Below are 26,402 nucleotides of genomic sequence, written 5' to 3' on the forward strand. Positions count from 1 at the left end.
AACAGTGAAAAGTATATTTTATTGGCATTTAGGCCTAGCGTAGTTCAATTCAAATAAAATATAACAAAGCAACTTATTTAAGCTAATTGAATATAACACATAAACAATTTTTTCTTAAGTTTCTGCTTTACCATCATATGATTGTGTTCATGCAAGTACAATCATTAAAACTGTCCTCCTAAGCATATATCATAGCACCACCTTTTATTTGCAGTACTTGATATGTAAATTTCATTGTCAAAACATATCTGGCTTTATCAATGTAAACATATTTGCTACAAGTAAACTTTAAAGGTAAAAGTGAATACTAATGAATAAATCAAAATAGAACTGAGCATCACATGATATAATTAAGCAAACATTATATAATACTGTTTCAATAAGAACCACAACTTAATACATTTCACAAAAAGGAAGGAAAAACAAAAAGTAATGTGTAAACTGCCAAAATAGTGTTAAAATACTGAAGGATATAATGCAAAATTTACCTCTGAAAAACAAGGGGAAAACAACAAAACCATGCTGTGAAAACTAAATTTGGTTTAGTAGTTACAACCGTCATTTTACTGCAAAGGCTTACTAAAATGCACTCCAACAAAACCATTTATTTTCTATCTCCCCTTTTAAAAAAACTACTGCGTTTAGTCACATAAGTTGGATATTTTGTGGAAATTTCACATTTTTTGTCAGCTGCGGGATTGTTACCCAAAAAAACCTTTCATCTCTAAACTATCTTTCCAAATAACCAAAAACATTATCATCATGAAAATTACCATTATAAAATCAAATAATTCCTAAACAAATCATAAAAATAAATCTGCCTTAACCTAGTAAGTACAGAAAAAGTGTATACATAAGTGCTGAAAATTACAGAAAAATATTCAATGAATAAGCAAAAATGTTCACATTTATCATTACTATTGTTTTTTTGCTTTCTGGCTAAAATTAAGGAACAAGTTTTTAAAAGGTGAGCAAGAAAATTCAGTGCCACTTTGGGTCTGTCTGCAATATACAAATGAGTTACATCTGTAGTACGAGGCAGACTCTATTTTTTATTAAACATAATTAAGTTATAAAGACTTCAAATTTCTAGAACCAGCTATAACACTGTGGTAAGCAAAATAAATTTGTTCTTATTGCTCTCATTATAATTCCAGCTTAATCTACAAATGTGAACATTTTCCATATGTTGTCTCAAACCATACTAATACAAAAAATATAGAGCAATATCTGTTGGTTTCCACAGATAAATGGAAAAAGGAAAAAATGAAATTTGAATATTATTTCATCTTCTTAAGTGTCTTTAACATTATTAGCACTTCAAGCAGCACTGGACACAGCAAGTTTCTTCAAGTGATCCATAAACACTTGTAAACTAACATCATCTGTAAGAATAGGTGCTCCAGACTCCTAGAGGAAAAAAGATATTTGTTATGATTAAAGCATAGGGTGATATCATGGAATTTATACACAAATGTTTAAAATAGACAAGGAAATCATTTGAAATGCCTATGGTCCTATTAAATAAAAAGAATCTAACTGGCCTCCGTCCCTGGTTGCTGGGAGGGAGACTCTACATCCTTAGAATTCCCTGATAATAGGAGTGTCTTTATTCATAGGCTGATGGGATCACATAGGAGTTTATGCTATGAGATGAGATGAATCAGGATGGCGGCTAGTCACCACGAAGACTAACAATGGAATTAGAGGCTTGGTGCTTTTAAAAGAAAGCCTGACCTCCAGACCCTTTCTCCCTGGCATTTTAAGAGAAATCCCAGCTGGAAGGAAGCAAACTCATAATATCATTTTTTAAATAAACTATGCTTCTCAAGTTTTCAGGTCGTTTTAATTGATTTCTGTAGGTTCCAAGTAATTAACAAGAGTTAGGGAAAATTCCTATTATCCATTTTAATAAAAACTGTATTGACAGAATGATCTTGGTAACCCAATCCATTAACAATGAAATTTTACTTCAGCAAGAGAAGGTATTTCTAGAAGATTTTTAATCTGAATTTTACATTTTTCTTCTTATACTCAAGTTCTTATTAATTATAAATATTCAAAGTCTAAAACAGGGAAATTAAGTAATTTCAGCAAATTATTGGCAAATGTGAGATGAGAACTTATAGCTCCTGTGATTCTAGTCTGGCATAGCCACAAACATGCCATAACCTCTCCTGAATAAAGGGAAATCAATTTTATCATATGTTTATTCAAAAGAACTTGAAAGATTTGATAATGAAGGGAGGCAATCCCTTACTGGGATTAAGGGCATAGAGTCTGGATCCAGAATGCCTAGGCTCAAATTCTGGCTCTGCCACTTCCTACCCATATGACTGAATAAGTTATTTAAACTATGTCTTAGTTTCCCCATGTGTAAAACAAGGATAATAACAGGACCTATCTTACACAAGTTGTTGTAATGATTAAATGAGTTAAATTCTATAAAGCAAACAGAACAGTACCTAGTACACACAGTAGACATACATGTTTTAGCTATTTCTATTGTTCCTCCTGTTCAAAAATCTATAACAATGAAATACTTTTCTTTATTCTATATGCATAGCTAACACAGAAAAGCACAAGTCTCAAAACTGTAACCTAAACCAGTAACAACCTCATGGCTCTTACTTTTTTCTTCCTGTAACTATGCCTGATTTTATTTTCATTTTACAATGTTTTCCATCTCAAGTCACCCAATCTCAGAGCCATTTCTCCTAGTCAAGACAAAATATAAGGATTTCCTAATTTATATACCACAGAGCTCCTGCTTGAAATGATAAATACCAATGCTCATTCGATTTTATAAAAAATTAGCAGTTAGCTGATCTCAACTTTTCAAATGGACCCTTTTTCTATTTAAAATATATCCAGGATTAGGCAGAAAGGTACAAGCTTTACATTATTTAGTATATGAGGCACTACAGCAACAGAGGCCTCCAGCACTGTCACAGAAGTGTTGCAGTGGTGCCCTCTTACGGCCGTTCATGGATAATACTTATCATAGGGTCCTTGATTTCTGACCCCCAAAAAATCCTGTAAGCTATTAGAGTCCATTAATTTTTAGTAAAATTCTTGGTTACTGTTATTTCCTTTAAATGCAATCATCAAATTAACTTGATTAAAAATTCAGAGTCTGGAGTTAGACCTTGGTTAAAATCTAGACCCTGCCACAGTTTAGCTACATGATCTTGCATAAAATACTTAATCTATATGAGCCTCAATTTCCTCTCATGAAATATAGGATTACTAGTATCCACCTTATAAAAGTTAATTAAATGAGAGTACACTAAAAGCATAGTGACTAAAACAGTAGATTCAGTGTATTAGATATTATGATTATTAAAATATTGACATCATTACTCATAAAAATCTTAAGAAAGACCTGAGCACTCTTATTTATGCCTGTAATGCCCCTACTTCCAGGCAGTAACAATTACACTTCAGAGTTTAAAATAGGTTTCCTTTCCCATGTTAAATATAAGAAGTGACTTTTTTTTCCATTGATAATAGTGAAAACTAATAGCTAACATTTACTGAGTATTACTGTCCATTTCAAGCATGTTTTATTAAACTCTATAGACAAGGAAGTGAAAACAAAGAGAAGTCAAGTAACTTGCAGAGTCTGCATTTTCCATTACCAGCCTTCCACCCTTCCAAGATTACTTTTTATAACCTCCCCAACTTTTAGAACTTTTGGACCTGGGATTCAATTTATTTACCTATATTACAAAAACTCTTAACTCCTAGCCACCTCCACAGATTTCCAATATTCTAATCTCTGCTCTCTCCTGTCCAGATCTATTGTATTCAATATATGCTATGTTTAAGGTCCTATGGAAAATCAAAAATGAAAATGACAGTTATTGCCTCAAGTAATTAATAATCTAACAGGAGCAATGCCATAAAAAATGGAGGCGGGAAAAGGGATGACAGGACAGGGATATTACACAAATTCAATCATGCAATTGTAGGACGGTGCTATGGTTTGAATATCTGTCCCTTCCAAAACTCATTTTGAAAATCCCCAATGTGGCAGTATAAAGGTGGGGCCTTTAAGAGGTGACTGGGTCATAAGGGTTCCGCCCTCATGAAACAATTAAAATCTATTCATGGATACTCCCAGGCACAGTGGCTCACACCTGTAATCCCAGCACTTTGGGAGGCAGAGGTGGGCAGATCACGAGATCAGAAGATCGAGACCATCCTGGCCAACATGGTGAAACTCCATCTCTACTAAAAATACCAAAAAAATTAGCTGAGTATGGTGGTGTGTGCCTGTAGTCCCAGCTACTCAGGAGGCTGAGGCAGGAGAATCGCTTGAACCCAGGAGGCAGAGGTTGCAGCGAGTCGAGATCGCGTCACTACACTCCAGCCTGGCAACAGAGCAAGACTCCGTCTCAAAAAAAAAAAAAAAAAAAAAAAAAGAACATTATGGAAGCATGCTCTAGATATTTTTAGTAAATAAAATAGGCCCTCACCACTGCTGCAAAAGCGTTTTATTAATCTTCAGTTGATTTTTGTATTCTTTAGAACTGTTTTTAATCTTTTCTAGTTTTTTTGGCCCCTAACTCCAGCCTTTTTCACTCCTAAATAATCTCATATTATTGAAAAGAAACAGGCAATTATCCAATGTGAGTTTTCACTCCACCTAAAAACCTTTCTGTCTTCACCCTTCTTACCTTTTGCTTTTGCAGAAATAAGTGCCCTGCCTCCTTACCAATGCTTAACGTCCATATACTGCTTATGATCATATTGTCTCCTGAGGATCTTAAATATCTGTTCTTTTGTGTCTTTCCTATGCTTGGTCTCCAAATAAGTTCTGTGCCCTTACCGTAATAACAATCATCTGCCTATCCTACTGCTTATCCTCAGGTTAAATTTGCAAAAGAATCATTTATACTTTCGACCTCCGCTTCTTTCTCACCCACTAATTCCTTATAAATTTATCTTCTTACTCAACCACCATACTAAAGCCGCTTACACAATGCCACGAATAACCTCCTAGCCATCAAATCCAAGCACCTTTTCTCACTCTGTATCCCTCTTCAACTGTCTGCGGCATGTCAGTTTGTTACCTCCTTCTTCTTCCTTCTATAAAGTCACCTTTTATGACATACTATTCTTTTCATTCTGCCTCTCTGATAATTCACTAAACACTCCTACCACTTGTACTCCCCTGAAGTTTTTGTCTCATCTCTCCTTTACCTCTTTACTCTCTCTTCAGACAAGCATTTACTGTGATGACTTTATCACCTTTCTCATTCTTGCCCTGACCATCAAACCCAAATTGCCAACAGCCCACTCAACATGGCCATAATCAATATGGTCATCTTATTGTGGCTCAATAAGGCCTTCTAGATAGTACCTCAAACTCAGTGTCTAAACCAAACAATTTCTCTCCACTCTCCCATTTATTGACATATGTTTTCCTAGTCACTCAGGCTTAAAACCCCAAAATACCCTGTTTCCCCTCACCTGTTTTTTAAAAATTCAAGACTACATTAAAGTTGAGAGAGAAGTACAATAAACACCCATATAGCATACCTACATTCACTGACTGTTAACATTTTGCCACGTATGCTTTATGTTTCTACATTATTTTTCCTTTTTTCTTCTTTTTGTTGAATAACTTCTGGAAGTTGAAGCCATCATGACATTTTATTCCTAAATACTTCAGGATGTATCTCCTAAGATCAAGAAGAATCTCCTACATAACCACACCATTATCACTCTCAAGAAATTTAATAATTCTGTACTAGTTATCTGATATATGATCTATATTCAAATCTCACAAATTATCCCAATTATGTTCTTTATAGCTATTCTCTCCCTTTAATCCAGGATTCAATCAGAATTCAGATTTTGTGCATAGTTGCCATGCCCTGGAATAATTACTTTCCTGCAACTTCTAATCAAGTCCTATTGAGTCTACTTTTAAAATATCTCCCAAATCTATTCCTTTCACCATCTTGCCTTTACTCCCTCTCACTTGGATTATTTTCGTAAATATACTTTCAACCTACAGACTGCTTCCATTTAATCTTAAGATTCAACTATACTAAGACTCAAATCTGCCCTCTGTCCACCTTCAATGACTCTCCATTACTTACCAAATAAATACTCAACTTCTCACTCCTCAACCTGACATTCAAGATCCTCCACAATTTACTTGTACAACACATTTCCGTTTTATGTTCTTCTAGTCAGCTCTGCATGTAGTCTTTTATCTTAGCCCATACTATTCTCTACCTAGATTTCCCTTCCTCATGCAATTTCCAATTACTGAAATAACCATTCTTTAAATGAAATGTTTCTTTTTTCTGAGCTCTTTTCTGATTACACACCCTCTTCCTGCTACCACTATGTGACCTCTTGCCATCTTCCTCTTCTAACCTTTGTAATACTTCATAGCTTTCTAAGGACAAATATCCCATTCTGCCTTGTAATTTACTTAGGTATGTATTTTATCTCTAATATTAGACTACAAGCTCTCCAAAGGCATGGGTAATAACTGCACCCTAAAGAGCCAATACAAAGTCCTAAACATACTGGACACTCAATAAATGTTGATATGTTATACCAAGAGGTTAACACTTTTTTTTTTTAAGAGATGGAGTCTTGCTATGTTGCCCAGGCTGGTCTCAAACTCCTGGCCTCAAGTGATCCTCCTGCCTCAGCCTCTTGAGCAGCTGGGATTACAGGCATGAGCCACCACACCCAGCAGGACTTTTACCAAATTAAACTATATCAATAATGATTTGCAGGGTTCCTGCCCCTCCTTCTCAACTATGATCCCTGGCCTCTCTTGGCTTATCGTGGCCTTTTGTGGTTCACAACCTAGCATTAAACTGGAGTCACCACTTCCTGTCTTACACACTTCATTGCTTTTTGTCTCAAGGGTATAGTGCTAAACTTGGAGTCTATTTGATAGGATCACTTTTGTCCTATGGTGTCGCCAAATATTAATTCTGTTTTCTACTCTCATTTTTACATTACTTTTCCAACAGAAACCATTACTAAATACACAGGAAAAAAATGTAGCTTTCACTAAAATAATAAACAATAAATACACAAAGAAATAATTTCCAAGACCTGCTATTTAAACTTACCTGCCCCCAGGCATACATATTATTATGAGTCTGTGAAGGGTTGACTTTTGAAAGGAGGAAACGGGCCTTAAAAGCAAAGAAGAAATAACATTATCCATCAAAAATGGTTTCAGTCAATATCAGCTGAATAATTATATCATGCAAAATCAATTTTATTTAGTATGTGTTGGTAAAATTAATTTTATTAACTTAATTTTTAAAAGATTAAACTTTGAAATGTATAGGTCACTAAGTGTTACAAATAAATAATAAATGCACCTCTTCTCTCCAAATCATACATCCAAAATAACAAATACATTGTTGAGTCCAAAACTCAGCATATAAAAATTATGTGTGCAACAATTATGACAAGGTTGGTGTGAAATTACTAAACACTTGGTCAGAAGTTCAAAATCCCAAATAATGATAAAAACAAAAGCCATGAAAATCTGTATGTTCTTTTGCTTAAAATAATGACCCTTAAGCTTTCTTAAACCACAGGTGATTCTATGAGACAAGTGATCCAACATTTTATCCTTCTACCCACTATGGCTTATCATCATGAAAATAATAACCAGAATAAAAGAGGAAAATGGTAATACACACAGTGAGACATCAATGAAAGAACCAGTAAGATTTTTAACTCATAATGGAAGCACATAGACAGTAACATCTTTTGAAATTTAGTATCATACAAAATCTTTTTCTACTCTCTAAGGAATCAGTTTAACCTAACAGTGAAGAGCACTGGCCCTGGAGTACCAGGACTCAAATCCCACTCCTGTATTTACTGTGTTCCCTTGGCCATAAGTAACCTAGATCTCAGTTTTATTATCTGTTAAATGAAAATAACACTAGAATTCTTATGAGGATCAAATGAGATAAGGCATGCAGAAGTACTTTGCAAATTCTCAATATGAAATAACTCTCATATAAATACAGTAAAACTAATAGTAATTATCATTTCTGAATAACAGTTACTGATATTTGCTACCTATTTTATAATACCGTACTAGGCACTAGGGAATACAAAGCATAGTCCCTGCCTTCAAAGAGCATGTAAAACAAATTAATAACAACTTATAATTAATTTATTATAACTCTTATAAGAATTACAAAAGAGAAGTAAGAAGTATTTTATGAGAGTATGTTAAGGAACCTAACTTAGCCTTCTGAAGGTCTCAAAGCAACTGTGTATGTATGTATATGTATCTAACGTATATGTATCCTCAAAATCCTAAAAGCCACAAAACCTTTTCATAATACTACAGTGTTTTCCTATTACATAAAATTTTATTTTCTAGAAAATTGGAATGATAGAATGAAGACAATGAAAAAATGTAAGTTACCACAAATGTCATATTCATAGACTTTAACAGTAAATAAACGGCTTTAAGAAAAGTATATTACTTTCCAAGCTGTTCACATTTTCTTGTTCAACCAAAGCTAGTATACCACCACAATGCCATCCTGGCCCTGTTCAGGAAGCTAGGCTAGAGACAGAAGATGATGGAAAGTGCCAGGTTTAGGCAACTAGTCAATAATCTTACTGTTTTGCTCTCAAAAGCTAATGCAAAAAGTAAGCACTGATACCTTCCCCACCTATCTCCTTACCTTTCTGTCTGCTTTATGAAGCAATCTATTAAAATCAGAAGGCAAGCAGGTACACCTCACTGCAAACCTAACAACAAACAAACACACAAACAAATTAACACTACTTACCTGGCTGCCTCCATGTTCAGTGTCAATGTATCTTGGCATTGGAAATCTGGAGTGAAGAATTTCCTGTGCATCATCCACTGGGGCTTGCAGAAGGTGGCGGAAATTTTCATACTCAGGCATATCCTGGTATCCTGACTTCCGCCACTGTGCTATGGTCTAATTTTAAAACAATTAAAGAAATTACTTTAAATTTCTTGCCCATCCAAAAATCTTGAGATTTTTCCAAAGAAAATAATCTTTAGAAACTAAAAAAATTATAGACCATTATTCCATTTACCTCAATTTTTTAAAAGTTACAATTTCAGTAGAGAAAATATTCTTAATAAATATAAAATTAGAATATTTCTTCTCCTTTAAAAGTAAAATGAAAGAATACTTACATAAGTCAGAAAATTTTTAAAACACTATGCTTATCAAATGAATGTTAGCTAAAAGCTATCTACCTAAGCTTATGATACGTGAAAGCAATTGAATCAATCCATAGGTAAGTAGCTCTAAACACCATGTAATTAAATCATCTAAAAACTTATGCCTGGTTTATTTTCTAAGTTAGCTGAATCAGTCAACACATTCTTTTATAGCTTTATACCTCTGTATAAAACAATCATGTGCATTTCTGATTTCTCCTTTAACAAGCTACTTGAAAAAGTAAAAATCACCATAAAACAAAGAAAAAGCAAAAAAAAAAAAAAAAAAAAAAAAAGCCCTGTCAGTATTACAGGTTTTTTTTTTTTTTTTAACAAAGGCAAGAAGTTAAAACAGGTATTATTCTTAACAAGTAAAGGGCATTAGAAACTGGTATCAATTAAAAATAATTTACAATAATAATAATTAAATCTTTTAAAACTCCTGGGTAGGTCGGGCGCGATGGCTCACGCCTATAATCCCAGCACTTCGGGAAGCCAACACGGGCGGATCACCCGAGGTCAGGAGTTCGAGACCAGCCTGGCCAACATGGTGAAAACCTGTCTCTACTAAAATGCAAAAATTAACTGGGCGTGGTGGCATGTGCCTGTAATCCCAGCTACCCAGAAGGCTGAGACAGGAGAATCGCTGGAACCCGGGAGGCAGAGGCTGCAGTGAGCCAAGATAGCGCCACTGCACTCCAGCCTGGGTGAAAGAGCAAGACTGAGTCTCAAAAAAAAAAAAAAAAAAGTCCTGGGTAGTACTACTTCAAAGAATATTTTGAGTAATGTCTTTACTATTACAGTACAAATCTTTTCTAAAAATTTTTTTGTAGAGACAGGGTCTCACTATGATGCCCAGGTTAGTCCTGAACTCCTGGGCTCAAGTAATCCTCCTGCCTTGGCCTCCCAAAGTGCTGGAATTAGAGGCGTGAGCCACCACACCCAGTCACAGTGCAAATCTAAAATCATTTACAATTAAAGCAACTGAAAAAATAAATCTGCAGAACTTAGTAAAACACTAGACTGTAAGTTTGAGAACAGATCTGTGAAAAAAGAACACATCTATATCTTCCAAAGCATCCAGAGGAAGCACTTAACAATTGGCTGAATGAGTAACTGCAGGAATGCATCAAGGTCTGCTAAATACCTGGATTAAAGCTTAATAGCTACTAAAATCTTCTGCTCTCTGTAATCATTTACCATTCCAATGAAGTTACAAATTTTAATTCATGTATGCTTTAAATGAGTTTTCAAGATCATGTAGAACACTTAATAATAACTTATAATGATTGCATAACGTAAAAGGAAAGCCTGCCCACTGACAAAGGCTGACTTTTCCCCCCTTAATGTTTTCAGGTAAAACCCAAAAGTGCCATTTGTCTATGTACAGTCAGTGTTCTTACTTTCACAACACTGTGCTTTGCGCAAAATCCAATTGTGTGACAAATGAATAAAATAATCACATGTGGGTCAACTGCAATTGAAGCCTAAAACCTTATAGTAGGCAGCATCATATTTTATTATTTTATAAAAATGGAAATCAAAGTTTATCATAGATGAAACACTAGCCATACAATTAGAAGTAAGAAAACCTTTCTAAGTAAAAAGACTTTACATGCATAGCTTTAAATGCTATTGAAATCTTACCTCACCATGATAAATCAAAATCTGGAAGAATGTGTCCATGAGAAGAATACGATCTGCAAGAATGCTACTGCTATCAAGAAGAACCGGCTAACGTAAAGAAAACAATGAGAAATGAGGAAAAAGGAAAAATAATCTACTCAATAATATAAAATAGATGTTTCCAGGTTATTTTCCAAGTTTCTTTTATTTATTTATTTATTTATTTTTTTGGAGAAGGGTCTTGCTCTGTCACCTAGGCTGGTGTGCAGTGGCATGATCTCAGCTCACTGCAGCCTCAAACTCCCAGGCTTCAGCAATCCTCCCAACTCAGACCCCCAAGTAGCTGGGACTACAGGTGTGTAACACCATGTCCAGCTAGTTTTTTCATTTTTTTGTTTGTAGAGATGGGGTCTCACTATGCTTCCTAGGCTGGTCTCAAATTCCTGGGCTGAAGTGATCCTCCTGCCTTAGCCTCCCAAAGGCTGAGATTACAGGCTCAGCACTAAATTTGAAACTTAGGCCATGATGGCCTAAATTTGAAATTTATATTTTATTACCTAAAATCTCTTGCTATTATGAATTCTTATAGTGTATTTTAATTTTTTAAGGAATCCCTTTAAGCTGAGGTAACAAACAATTTAAAAATAGAGTAAAGTCAAGAAGAATTCAAGGATAACTCCTAAGCCTAAATGGGGAAAGGCCTGGGATAGAGCAAATTTGGAGCACATGGGAAAATAGTTCTGCATATGAAATGAAAGGGAGTGGTCTGAACTGATGACATAAATCTAGGTGTCACATGCACAAAGATTAAAGCACAAAGATTAAAGCAATGGGATTAGACTACATCACTGAGAGGGAAGACAGGGAAAGCCAGAAGATTGATCCCTTAAGCATGTCAACACTTAGAGGTCTGAAAGGGAAAAGCTAGCAAAAGACTGAGAAAGAACGGTGAGTGAGTAAGAGGAAAACCAGGAAGGTATAGGTGTCACAGAAGCCTAGGGCAAAAGGTTTTCAAGGGCTGAGTACTAGTGAAGACTAGGTAAATACTGTTGAGAGCTCTGGTGAGATGTAGGACATTGGTGGTCTTTATAAGAGCCATTTCAATATAATGTTAGGGACAAAAGTCTTACTTATATAGGTTGAGAAGACAATGTGAGGTGAGAAAGTATAAACAACAAATAACTTTTTTGAGTTCAACTCTCACCAGGAGCAGAGAAATGGGGTGGCAGTTAGAGAAAGCGTGGGTCATGGTGGGGGTGTTTTGGCCGTTTGTTATAAACCTGACTGTTGTTATGGTTTCTATGTTAATTAATAAGAATGATCCAGATGGACAGAAAGTAATTATATAGAACAGAAAGAAGATAACTCCAAAAGCAAAACCCTAAGAACATGAAGCTGATAGGATTCATGGATTAAATGAAAAGGTTGAAATTTAATAGGAGCAGGCACTAGGGACAGTGGGATTCCAATTTTCTTCTAAACACCATTCTACATTTTTCAGATGTCTACATGCACGTTATTACTCAGAAGAAAAAAAAGTTACTTCTAAAACATTCCTGATTCAAAGAATACAAGGCAAAATACATATAGCCAAACCAACATATTAAAAATATATATTTCCTAGAAAAATAGAAACTATTTGACCAATTACAAAAAAATCATTGTAACGAAATAAAATATTTTACCCATTATTTTACAAAACCGTGAATAATAGCATCATGAGGGATCATTAATCAATAGATATTGTAAATATTCTCTTTATATTGACCTTACTATTTTCAAATACAGTAACTACACACTTTTAAGTAGTAAAACAGACCATTTTAACTACAGAATGGAAAAATGGTTCATTTGATAACAGGTTAAAATAAGTGGGACAGTCTGCTAAGAAGGTTAAATGGATAACTTTATCAATCTTCTAAGCATGTGTCTTTATAATCAACTATTTTTTATGTTCTCAAAAAAACAAAGGAAAATGAGATTAAAACAAGAGCCTTTGTTTAGACAGAATGTCATAACTGTCACAGACACTAAACTCTGGAATAAGCTACAGTCTACAGAATTATAATCACTTCTGGACATTGTTAAAGACGTAAAGAATAATCATATGCTTTGGAGGATTTGATTAACCAAATGGCTGGACAAAATGATCTGAAAGTCTCTTCCATCTCCTTTAAAAAAAAAAATTTAACAATCTTCTAATACAGCCTACATGGTATCTAGCATATAGTAAACATTCATAAATATTTTAAGCGAATACATTAATAGGTTGAGATGTCCATTCTTTTAGTTAAATTCTTATATTTAGTAACTATATGCATTTTTTTAGTTATTTTCACTTTTTTAATGCCACACATTGCAGTAACAAGACCAATTTATTTTTTTCTGTCCCTCTTACCTCTGGTGGTCCACTAAAAGAATACGCATACAGGATAGGCTGAATCATAATTAGAGACTGGGTCAGATCTTGACGCATAAAATGGTGACGATAATATGAACTCTCATCAGGACTATTGTTAAAAACTTGCAGGAAAGAAGATCTTCTTAAATGAAACATAAACTGTAAGATAAACACGTAAGATAGTTGTTACTGATTTTAATATTAAAACAGGTGTTTACTATTAGCAAAAATATTTGATTACAAACTATTAACAACATAACAAAACATGTTATTATAAGAATGTTCTAATTTATATCCCTCAGGAAAGGAATCCTATTCACAAAATTTATCAGCTGCCTAAAAATAAAATTCCACAAGAAAAAAAATTTAAGAAAGAAAAAAAAAATTTTTAAGTTAAAGTAAGAAAAGGATGGCTGGGCATGGTGGCTCACACCTGTAATCCCAACACTCTGGGATGGCTTGGGGCCCAGGAGTTGGAGACCAGTCTAGGCAACATAACAAGACTTTGTATTTAAAAGGAAAAAAACAAAAAGACAAAAACCCCTTGCTCAAATCTAAGTTATTCAGAGGCTGACGCCAGGTAGTAAAACTATGACCATTCTTTGTTTTTAATCTTCACACGTCTGACCATATCTTTGGGCTTTTTTATTACTACTCATTACCAACACCAAAGATTCTAAGAACATATAAAAATAAATTACAGATTTTCTACTTTTTATATGGCTGATATGATTTGGCTACATCCCCACCCACCCACATCTCACCTTGAATTGTCAATTCAAGTTTACTTGTTAAGGCAGGGCCAGATGGAGGGAACTGAATCATGTCAGGGGGCAGTTTCCCCCATACTGTTCTCGTGGTAGTAAGTCTCAGGAGATCTGATGGTTTTATAAATGGGAGTTCCCCTGCACATGCTCTCTTGCCTGCTGCCACGTAAGATATGTCTTGCTTCCCCTTCGCTTTCCGCCATGATTGTGAGTCCTCCCCAGCCATGTGAAACTGTGAGTCAATTAAGCCTCTTGGCTGGGCATGGTGGCTCACGCTTGTAATCCTAGCACTCTGGGAGGCCGAAGCAGGTGGATCACCTGAGGTTGGGAGTTCAAGACCAGCCTGGCCAACATGGTGAAACCCCGTCTCTACTAAAAATACAAAAAATGATTAGCCGGGTATGGTCGCATGTGTCTGTAATCTCAGCTACTCGGGAGGCAGAGACACAAGAATTGCTTGAACCAGGGAGGCAGAGGCTGCAGTGAGCTGAGATTGTATCACTGCACTCCAGCCTGGGTGACAAGAGTGAGACTCTGTCTCAAAAATAAATAAATAAATAAACAAACCTCTTTCCTTTATAAATTACCCAGTCCCGGGTATGTCTATTAGCAACATGAGAACGAATACCATGACTTAAAAATTGTACTGGGAAGGGTCTACACTGGTTTAAAAAAAAACAACCACATATATACCCATATAATTTCTTAATATTTAATATCTTCCCTATACCTAAGAAACATTCTCCAGATTTTGTTTCACTGCTTCTTTCTCCTTTCACTTTCCTTCCCTTCCACCTACTCCTCACATGAAAGAAATCAAAAAGAGGGAGAGTTAGGCCTGAATAATGGACAGTTACACTGGGTCTTTGATAAAACTGATTAGGATCAGCCAGAAAGTATTCCCACTTGTCTTTAGTCACTTCTCTTAAATTCCTCCAACCCTCAGGTCTTAAGTGCCTATATGTTGCTCCTGCCTGGGACTCACTCAACAGCTTTCTCCCAACATGTCATTCACTGAAATTCTGATTCCTATTCTGTTTTCAGGATCCATAATTCATTGAGAGGCTCTTGCATCCCTTACTACTTCAGTCATTCTTGTTTACTCACAGAAATGACCAATTGGTAAATGTTAGGTAATATTTTGGGGATGAAGACTTCCCTTAAATTTGGTCTATGCTACCTTTTAGAAGATTATCAGACTTTGAAAACCCAAGACAAAAAGTATTCCAGGGTCCTCTGCTTCCTATTTCCAGGAAAGGAAGAAAGATGGAAATGTCCAGATCTCTCTGAAGATCTAAAAGCCCAACAAGAAGGCTTGAGGCAGGGAGAGAAGAGAAAGTGTGCAGAATTTAGTCAAATACTTAGGCTAATGCCCTCCATCACTTTCCTATTAGTTTCTGCTACAAAAATGACAAAACAAAGAATTTTACATGCCTTAAGACAAGCAGACCTTGCCTTTTCCTGGTTCTCCAGGATCTCACCAGAGGTTTTAGGGAAGTCTCTCCTCTGTAAGCATGGAGTTTCTGGGTTATAGATCAATCAGCAATAAAGGATCCTCAAAACAAAAACAACAACAACAAAAAAAAAAACAGAGCAGCTCTGAAAAAGAAAGCTGATGCTTTAAACAAAGTTCTCATGGGCAAAAATATGAATTTCCACATCTCAATATTAATCATCCTTCCAAGTTAAGCTAAAAGGCCACCTCCTCCTTCAAAAGATATATAAAATCATCCATTTGGAAGGACTCCTTTAAGTTTCCTTTAAATTCTGTATATTTCTCACTTTCTGTTCTGTGTTGTTTATGTATATTTCACATCTCACCCTTTTAAAAGCTCCTTGTAAGAGGGATCCATGTCAGTCACCTGTATCCTCCTAAAGTTCCCTGCACACAGCACTCTAAACACACAGACTTAAAAATATCTATCAAATCAACAGGAAGATGGAGGGATAGATTCCACTGCTCCAGGTGGAAAATATTCTGTAAGGTAAATCAAATGAGTTTATTTTCTATTTATCTGGTCTGGCCCCATAAAATTGTTCTCAGGTGATGATACCATACTGCAAGACTAGCTAACTGGTAAAATAACCTCAGATGAAGTCCTTCTGGTACCACTATAATTAGGTCCCCTTATGTCAAATGGAAAACTAACCAGCCTTACATGTAATTCTACCCACTGCAGGGTTCCAGAATAAGTCTCTATTCACCACAAATAAATGACTATTTGCAAGGCCAATATAAAAATATTATATACTTTTCACCAACTACTCGTAGCACAATATTAATTTCTTAGCTATCCCAAAACTTACCTAACAAAAAGAATAACCCAATAAAATAGATACCATAAAAAGAGCAATAAAAAAGGAAAAATGAGGCTCAATGCTACTGGCCACACAAGAAAAGAATATGGGTCTGTCTGGATGTGGCAATCTTAGCACTTTGGGAGGCCAAGGCAGAAGAACTGCTTGAGGCTAAGAGTTCAAGACCAGCCTGGGCAACATAGCAGGAAACCATCCCTACCAAAAAAAAAAAAATTAGCTCGGCATGGTGGCACACTCCTGTAGTCCTAACTACTCAGGAGGCTGACTAAGCCCCGGAGTTCCAGGTTACAGTGAGCTATGATGGAGCCACTATACTTCAGCATGGATGACATAGGGAGAGCCTGTCTCTAAAAAAGGAAAAAAAAGAAAAGAAAAGAATATGGACCTTTTACCTACTTACCTGTGGATAAAGGGAGAAAGTTTCTGAAAATCTGAAGGAACTTGGGTCATCTTTATGATATTCTCCAAATTTCTGACACTAAATAAAATAAAATGTGTTAGTAATTTATTTCCTGGAATAAAAGCTAACACTGTTGCCTATAAATATTCTATTTACAAGAAGTTACCAATCATCAGGAAGCAGATACTTGATAAAGAATAAAATTATAATATTACTTATAGACTTACCAAGAGACAAAACCAAAGAAAAAACATCTAAATTTCAGAAACAAACACCACATTGTCCCAATGTAATTAATAACTCACCTTAAAATATTTGGATATTTTTTAACTAAGTGTCTCTCACAACAAATAAAGAGCTCTTAGATAACAACAAAAAAGCTCAACACGTGCCTTAAAACACCAAAAAGGCTGGCACAGTGACTGACGCCTGTAATTCCAGCACTTTGGGAGGCCAAGGTGGGAAGATTGTGCCTAGGAGTTTGAGACCAGCCTGAACAATATAGCAAGACAACCATCGCTATTAAAAAAAAAAAAAAAATTGTGGCCGGGCGCAGTGGCTCACACCTGTAATCCCAGCACTTTGGGAGGCCAAGGCGGGCGGATCACAAGGTCAGGAGTTCGAGACCAGCCTGGCCAACATGGTGAAACCGCATCTCTACTAAAAATACAAAAATAAGCCAGGCATGGTGGTGCGCGCCTGTAATCCCAGCTACATGGGAGGCTGAGGCAAAAGAATTGCTTGAATCCGGAAGGCAGAGGTTGCAGTGAGCTGAGATCGTGCCACTGGACTCCAGCCTGGGTGGCAGAGCAAGACTCTGTCTCCAAAAAAAAAAAAAATTTGAGCCAAGTGTGCTGACTCATGCCTATAATTCAAGCACTTTGGGAGGCCAACACAGGAGGATCACTTGAGCCCAGGAGTTTGAGACCAGCTTGGGCAACATAGCGAGATCCTGTCTCTACAAAAAATTTTGAAAATTAGCCAGGCATGGTTGCACGTGACTATAGTCCCAGCTACTCGAGAGGCTATGGTAGGAGGATTGCTTGAGCCTAGGAGGTTGAGGCTACTCTGTAAGCCATGATCGTGCCACTGCAAGCCGGCCTGGGAGACAGAGCGAGATTCTGTCTCGAAAAAGAAAAAAACAATTTTTTTTTTTTTGAGACAAGAGTCTCGCTCTGTCACCCAGGATGGAGTGCAGTGGCGCGATCTCGGTTCACTGCAAGCTCCGCCTCCCAGGTTCACGCCATTCTCCTGCCTCAGGCATCCGCCGCCACGCCCAGCTAATTTTTTGTATTTTTATTAGAGACGGGGTTTCACTGTGTTAGCCAGGATGGTCTCGATCTCCTGACCTCATGATCCGCCCGTCTCGGCCTCCCAAAATGCTGGGATTACAGGCGTGAGCCACCGTGCCCGGCCAAAAACAATTTTTTGAACACCTGTAAAATGCTCTAGTATCAACTACTTGAGTCACGAGGAGCAGTCCTTATTTACAACCCAACCAAAACACTAATACCGGTGGAAAACAGACTGAAGCATAAAGAAGGTATATCCAAGACCCACTATTTGAGTTATTCAGAAGTAATAAAACTGGGCAGATAAAGCAACAGTAATGATTTTCCTGAGGAAAATAACATCCCTTACAAAAAGGCTAATTCCTTCTTTAATTCAGTAATTATTTATGCATAAAGGCAGCCACATAAAAGGACCCTAGGGGTCAATGCCTAACCTCTATAAGAAAATGGTAATGACAAAAGCGGTATCTGTAAAAACAGTAAAGCTAAAGTGTTTCATCCCATTGGTGCAGCAAGAGAAAACCTGGCTTGCAGGGAAAGTCCCAATAGTCTTAAGACAGAAGATTTCCTGAGTCAAGTCTGATTAGATGAAGTGTTTACCCAGGATGGCTAGCAATGCAGCTGAAGGGAGAACACAATTAGTGGTTGATGGGTAAACCAAAGGTCAGAGATGAATCAGCCATCAATTTTAAGTTGTGAAACAGAAAAGGCCAGGAGTCAAAAAGGAAGCCGGGAGCAGTGGCACAGGCCTGTAGTTCCTGCTCCTTGGGAGGCTGAGGTGGGAGGATCACTTGAGCCCAGGAGTTCAAGTCCAGCCTGGGTAAGTAATATGGCAAGATCCCATCTCAAAAGAAGGAAAGAAAGGAAGAAAGAAAGAAAGAAAGAAAGAGATGAACAGATCCCTGAAGTTGGATGCACAATGGATCCGAACAAGGGACTGAGAATAGAGGCAGTAAATCATGTGTGGATACCAGTATCTTATGTGATAAATGACTTAGGTGATAACGCACTTTAGTTTCAGTAGCTATTCTAGGATAGCCTCATTTTCTTGTACTGACAACTTCACTGCTGAATTTTTAGCTATTACAACAACAGCAACACAAATAGAGAAAAAGTTAATACTGTTTAGGTATTAAAACTTTTTGTAAGTTTTTTCCTAATCAAAAACCTAGGAAATTATACTAATAAATTTCTTTCCCTCAATTTAGCATAGTAATATGTTTTCTTTTCCTTGATGACTTACTAGAGTAACTTTAATTAAAAAGAAACATCATTTTTTGTGTACTGTTTTGGAGACAGTGTGCATTACAGAGCCAAATTGGTGCTGGCACCATGTCTGTTTTGGATACCTTTAACATGACAGGAAGCCCTTGCTTCCTTCAGTCATTATCATAAAATGGGGCCACAAGACTAATCTGGTCTCTAGCCCCAACTGCCCTGCTGCTGTTGTAAATGCTGCAGAATGTAGAATGTGTAGATTAGAAGTAAAGTACACTGTGAGGTTTATGTAATTTTGTACTTTTTGCAGTTGTCTCATTTAATTAATTACTAGGCCCTTCTGTTTTACATTAGTGCTTACATTTTACAAACATGTCAAATAATGTGGCAATTTTTGAAATTGAGGTGTGAGACAAAGTCATGGAATCAACCTAAATGCCCATCAATAATAGACTGGATAAAGAAAATGTGGTACATATACACCATGAAATACTATGCAGCCATAAGAAGGAACAAGACTAGCCGGGCGTGGTGGTTCATACCTGTAATCCCAGTACTCGGGAGGCCAAGGCAGGCAGATCACTTAAGGCCAGGAGTTCGAGACCAGCCTGACCAACATGGTGAAATCCCGTCTCTACTAAAAATACAAAAAAAAAATCACCTGGGTGTGGTGGCACACACCTGTTATCCCAGCTACTTGGGAGGCTGAGACAGGAGGATTGCTTGAACCTGGAGGAGGAGGTTGCAGTGAGCCGAGATCGTGCCACTGCACTCCAGCCTGGGCGACAAGGCGAGGCTCCTTCTCGAAAAAAAAAAAAAATGGAACCAGATCATGTCCTTTGCAGGGACACAGATGGAATTGGAAGCCATTATCCTCAGCAAACTAAGACAGGAATAGAAAAGCAAACACCACATGCTCTCACTTACAAGTGGGAGCTGACTGATGAGAACACATGGACACATGGGGGGCAACAACACACACTGGGCACCTGTGGGGAGTGAGGGGAGGGAGAGCATTGGGAAGAATAGCTAATAGATGCTGGCCTATAATACCTGGGTGATGGGATATCTGTGCAGTAAACCACCATGGCACACGTTTACCTATACAAAAAACCTGCACATCCTGCACGTGTATGCCTGAACTTAAAAGTTGAAAAAAAAAAATTAAAAAACAATCTCAAAATTGAGATGTGAGATAAAAGATATAAAAGAGAACAATTCTAGACATAAGTCTTCAGAGAATCCTGATAATTCTGAAGAATTACAATCATCTGAGTCATTTCAGTGTATTCATGCAACAAGGGACATACAAAAAAAATCCACCTTTACAAGGAAAATCAGTAGGTTTTACATGGGACAGTAATCCAAGTTGTACTGTTCAATTTTGTGTCATATGTGACAACCTACCAATTCAGCAATACCTCTGGCAAAATGGAAAAAGCCCTTTACTACAAATCACAGCCATTTGACAAGCAAAAGGTGCTGATTACATCAAGCAGCTTTTAGAATCTCTAAACAATGAAGCATTTGTTGAGACAAAGTCACAATTAGTGAAAAAAACTAAGGAAGCAAGCTATTTCAGAGTACAACTTATTACCTAGAAAAGGAAAAGTCACACAGTTGTTGAGAAAAGAATATTGCCAATATGTAAAATCACAGTAAGTGAAAATGCTAGGACAAGATGCTGTCTGAGGCCAGGTGCGGTAGCTCACGCCTGTAATCCCAGCACTTTAGGAGGCCAAGGCAGGTGGACCACCTGAGGTCAGGAGTTCAAGACCAGCCTGGCCAACATGGTGAAACCCGTCTCTACTAAAAATACAAAAAATTAGCCAGCATGGTGGTGTGCACCTGTAATCCCAGCAGCTCCAGAGGCGGAGGCAGGAGAATCACGTGAACCCAGGAGGCAGAGGTGGCAGTGAGCCAAGGTTGCACCACTGCACTCCAGCCTGGGCAACAAGAGCCAAACTCTGTCTCAAAACAAAAAAAAGATGTAGTCTGAGAAATTGAAAAGGTCCCATTTAAAAACAGTACAATAAGTCAAAGCACTGATGACATGTCACATGATGCTGGAGACATCTGTGTATAATAAGCTGAAAAATAACAGATTCTCTACAGATTGACGAGTTAACAGGTTTCAATGATGTCATGTCAGATTTCTAAATAACAGTGAAATTCAAGGAAAATTTCTGCTACAAAGAGAAACTTTTCTGCTATCCTAAATAAGCAAGGGTCAAAATATATTTAATGTTATATCTATCTGGAAACAAAAGATCCACCTTGAAGGAACTGTGTTGGCATTTGTTCTAATAGTGTCCCATCAATAGTGGACCCTATGAGAGGATTAATCTTTCTTGTTTTTTTTTTTTAAAAAAAAGGTAATATTGTCATAATGCTGCTTTTTTCAAAGAGGTACTAGTATAAAAAAAACTCTTGGAGGTGAAATCAAAAAAGTTCTGAATGATGATATAAAAATGGCTAACTTTTTAAAACAAGTCTAGTTCACTCAAGAATTTTTAAAATTACATGAAAGCCTACACCAACCACACAAAAGCCACTGGACACAGAAATTCGACAGCTTAGCAAATAGAGTTCTCAAAAGGGTGTTTAAGCTAGAGTGCATAAAGAAGTACCTTCAAAGAATAAGCCAGAGGTTGCTAAGTAAAAATGAAGCATTAAGAACTGAGCTTAGCCAGGTGTGGTGGCTCATGCTTGTAAAATCCCAACACTCTGGGAGACTAAGGTGGGAGGGGTGCTTGAGCATAGCAGTTTGAGACTACCTTGAGCAAAATAGTGAGACCCAGTCTCAACAAAATTTTTTTTAAATTAGCCAGGTATGGTGATGGTGGCTCATGCCTGTAATCCCAACACTTTGGGAGAATGAGGTGGGAGAGTCACTTAAACCCAGGAGTTCCAGACCACCTTGGGCAACATAAGCAGACTCCATCTCTACAAAAAAATTTTAAATTTGCCAGGTGTGGTGGTGTGTGCCTGTAGTCCCAGCTACTCAGGAGGCTGAAGTGGGAGAATCACTTGAGCAGGGGAAGTCAAGGCTATGATGAGCCATGATCATCTCATTGAACTCCAGCCTGGGTGACAGAGTGAGACCCTGTCTCAAAAAAAAAAAAAGGGACTAAGCTTAATCAAGTGCTCTGTGTCATAATGTAAGTACAGTAATGGTGTTCTGGCATGTTAAAAATCTAAGTAAATCAACACTACTAATAACTTTATTAGCACACGACTTGGTAATCTAGAACCAGATAATACAGACTTGTCTATATTTTGCATGTTAATATGCATAATTTTTCTACCCCAGTTCATTTCTTTTTTGACACAAGGTCTCACTCTGTTGCCCAGGCTGGAATGCAGCAGCACAATCACAGCTCACTGCAGCCTCAAACCTCCTGGGTTGCAGTGATCCTCCCGCCTCAGCCTCTGGAGTAGGTGGGACTACAGGCACACAGTACCATGCCTGGCCAATTTTTTTTTGGAGAGACAGGGGTTTCGCCATGTTGCCCAGGCTGATCTTGAACTCCTGGTTCAAAGTGCTGGGATTACTGCCATTAGCCACCATTCCTGGCCTAATTTCTTTTAAGAGATGCACATATAATAGTTCCATTAAAATGAAAGTAAAAAACTAAAGCCACAGCAATGAAGAAATATGTAAAAAAGCACTAAAAATTGTTACAATAATATAGAATTAAATTGGGAACTAACCTCATTCCAGCCAATAAGAATAGAAAAATAATAGGTTACATAATTGTCACTCTTACATTTTAAGGAAAAAAGGCAATCTAGTTTACTGGAAGAGATTAATGAGTTCTACTATTCATTACTGTGCTACTGTCTCAGTAATTTGAATAGGAGTTTCTCATACAGTATTTCAGATACACTGTTAAGTACTTTGAAAGAGATTATCTGCAACAAACATTTACTACAAATGAAAGCATACAGATTTAGAAAAGCACAGTGTTTATTTCTTACCAGTCGAATGAGCTGTCTGTCCAGCCACCTAAGCACATCTGGACCTTCTTCTGTTTCTGCTCTATATATTGCTAGCCGGGCCATAAGAATGGCAGCTGCCTCCTGGTCAAAAGATGCAGCAATGTTTTGGATTTGAGTTTGAGCATCTGCCCAGCTGAAGACAATAAGAAAGCATAGAAATGCTTCTGAATTATTATACCCACAATATCATAGTTGGCTACCACACAAATTTAAATTTAAAAGATAAAAGATACAGAAACTACTAGGATTTTTTTTTTTTTTTGAGACAGAGTCTCGCTCTGTCACCTAGGCTGCAGTGCAATGGCGCGATCTCAGCTCACTGCAACCTCTGCCTATTGGGTTCAAGCAATTCTCCTGCCTCAACCTCCCAAGTAGCTGGGATTACAGGCACCTGCCACCAGGCCCAGCTAATTTTTTTGTATTTTTAGTGAGGCAGGAAATTAAACAAATAAAGAAAAATAAAATTAAACAAGAGAAGGAAACAAGCTTTAGGTATTAGGCTAACTCATCCCAAAGGCAGTAACAGGCAAAGCCCAGACCCAGGCAAAGTATCGATAACATTATCCAAGAAGCCAGGGCTCAAAGGAATGTGCTCTGGAGACCCTCCCAGCACTCCCTCAAACACAAGGAAAAGAGAAACAAATTTTCCTTTCTCTTACGATATGAGTAAACCTATGAGTTTACAGATTCCTGTTTTCTATAACTAGCAACTTCAAGTAGTCTGTTTTAACTGAGCAGCACAGCGAAGGTCATGAGACATGCCTGAGCGGGACTGGATTGCAACCATCTAGGCGCTATAGCGAAGGTTATGAGATAAGCCTGTGCAAGGCTCTCTTGAGCAAAGCTAGATAACAGCCATCTGGGCCACATAGCAGGAGTCACACATAAGCCTGAGTTATGAACCTGTCACAGTTTAATTAACTGCCTTTGTTCTGCCTCTGTACATGAGCTTTCGTGCCACTACGCTTCATGCCACTGTAAGCTTGTTTCAAACTAGTCAGCCCCCTTTCAAAAGTGTGTAGATAAGCCAAGCCCTGTCTTTGTTCAGGGCCCAGTCTTCGGATGTTAATCCACTGGTTCTGAGTGCACTCAATAAAATCCTCCTGTTCTACTTACTAGTCTCTCCAGTCTCCTGATTCCCACAACATTAGTAGAGAGGGGGTTTCACCATGTTCACTAGGCTAGTCTTGAACTCCTGACCTCAAGTGATCCACCTGCCTTGGCCTCCCAAAGTGCTGGAATAACAGGCGTGAGCCACCACGCCCAGCCTACTTCAATATTTCAAAATTCCAATATTACTTAGACAAATTAGCTTTTTTTTTTTTTTTGGAGACAGAGTCTTGCTCTGTCACCCAGGCTGGAGTGCAGTGGAAGGATCTCAGCTCACTGCAACCTCTGTCTCCTGGGTTCAAGCAATTCCTGTGCCTCAGCCTCCTGAGTAGCCAGAACTACAGGCTCCGGCTAACTTTTTTGTATTTTAGTAGAGATGGGGATTCACCATGTAGCCCAGGCTGGTCTTGAACTCCTGAGCTCAGGCAATCCACCCACCTGAACCTCCCAAAGTGCTGGGATTACAGGCGTGAGCACCACACCAGGCTCAAATTAGCATTTTTTTAAATCACTAATAGCAGTTTTAGTATAGCATTCACTGTTTTTCAGAAAAATATAACCAAACCTAAAGAAATCTTCCAAAGTAAGTGTAAAGGCAGCTCTCCAACCACATTCCTTAAAATATTAATATTTTTACTAGTCCAGTCAGCATGGTGGCACACATCTATAGTCCCAGTTATTCAGGAGGCTAAGGTGGGAGAATCACTTAAGCCCAGAAGTTTTAGTTCAGCCTGGGAAACAGCAAGACCCTATCTCTAGGCTGGTTGCGGTGGCTCACACCTGTAATCACAACACTTTGGGAGGCTGAGGCAGGCAGATTGCTTGAGCTCAGGAGTTCAAGATCAGCCTCAGCAACATGGTGAAACTCTGTCTCTACTAAAACTATAAAAATTAGCCAGGCATGGTGGCACATGCCTATAATCCCAGCTACTCTGGAGATGAGAACTGCCTTAACCTGGGAAGCAGAGGCTGCAGTAAGCCAAGATGGCACCACTGCACTCCAGCATGGGCGACAGAGCGAGACTTTGTCTCAAAAAAAAAAAAAACTTTAAAGTCATAAAATAAGGAAGTTTTTAAAAAACAGAGATTTTTTTAAGAGACAAGGTCTCACTCTATCACCCAAGCTGGAATGAAGTGGCATGATCATGGTTCAAGTGGCACAATCATGATTCACCTCAAACTCCTGGGCTCCAGCAATCCTCCCACCTCCGCCTTCTGAGCAGCAGGACTACAGGCACGGACCACCATGCCCAGCCAATTTAAAACAATTGTTTCAGAGGTGAGGGTCTCACTATGTTGCCCAGGCTAGTCTCCAACTCCTGGACTCAAGTGATCTTCCTGCCTCAGCCTTCCCAAAACACTCGGATTATAGGCATGAGCCACCGCACTTGGCCAATAAAAGATTTTTACAAGTAAAAACAATAGGATATACGTGTGCCCACACACATAGATATGCAAGTCCCTATATCCAACTTTAAAATTTCATTTATTTAATTTTGTTAAAGCAGAAATATAGAAATACAAAAATAAAGGTTTTCTCTCAACCTAAGTAATTCTTGTTTATTCCACTGGAAAATGAATAAAGTGTCGGAAGTTTCTCATTGGTCTTTCAATCATTAGTGATAAAAATCAAATAATTAAAATTACTTTGTATTCTTTTATTTCCATGTTAATACACTGACTAAAACCAATTAAAAGTTAATAAGTAAAAACTTCAGTCTAAGGGATTAATTTGATACTACACATAAAATAGCAGCAATTTATTAAATCCAAATGCTGTATAAATCCAACTGATCCTGGGTAGACTCAGATCAAACTGAACCTAGGTAGACCCAGCAATACATTTTATCTGTTTGTTTGTTTGTTTAATATTTCAGATATAGTGACTGGCCAGACATACTTATAGACTTCCTGAAAATAAGTGCTGAACCACTTTTACATGTAAGAGTGATGAGTGATCCTAAGGGAATTCAGGCAGCAGCATGTTTAAAATTCTTCTCCCTTCTTTCTGTATTTTTTTTTTTTTTTAATTTTTTTTATTTTTTGA

General features: G+C 37.5%; 1 protein-coding gene across 4 annotated transcripts in view; it reads right to left on the reverse strand.

The window, feature by feature from the left end:
- SEC23A (SEC23 homolog A, COPII component) overlaps positions 1–26,402 on the reverse strand; it is a 71,317-nt gene continuing 44,915 nt past the window's right edge. The window contains exons 14-21 of one of the 4 annotated variants that reach the window (XM_005267262.2): positions 23,225–23,378; positions 16,734–16,811; positions 15,449–15,520; positions 13,245–13,406; positions 10,868–10,954; positions 8,814–8,969; positions 7,113–7,178; positions 1–1,410 (exon numbers count right to left, since the gene is read on the reverse strand). In XM_005267262.2, coding sequence (XP_005267319.1) covers positions 1,321–1,410; positions 7,113–7,178; positions 8,814–8,969; positions 10,868–10,954; positions 13,245–13,406; positions 15,449–15,520; positions 16,734–16,811; positions 23,225–23,378 — 865 coding nt within the window. In that variant the 3' untranslated portion in view covers positions 1–1,320. Of the gene's footprint in view, positions 1,411–5,528; positions 5,691–7,112; positions 7,179–8,813; positions 8,970–10,867; positions 10,955–13,244; positions 13,407–15,448; positions 15,521–16,733; positions 16,812–23,224; positions 23,379–26,402 lie in introns of those variants that run through there. The other 3 variants (XM_011536355.4, NM_006364.4, XM_017020928.3) reach the window with 3 other exon arrangements.

The sequence above is a fragment of the Homo sapiens genome, chromosome 14 (assembly GCF_000001405.40).
Source record: "Homo sapiens chromosome 14, GRCh38.p14 Primary Assembly".
NCBI classification, from domain to species: domain Eukaryota; kingdom Metazoa; phylum Chordata; class Mammalia; order Primates; family Hominidae; genus Homo; species Homo sapiens.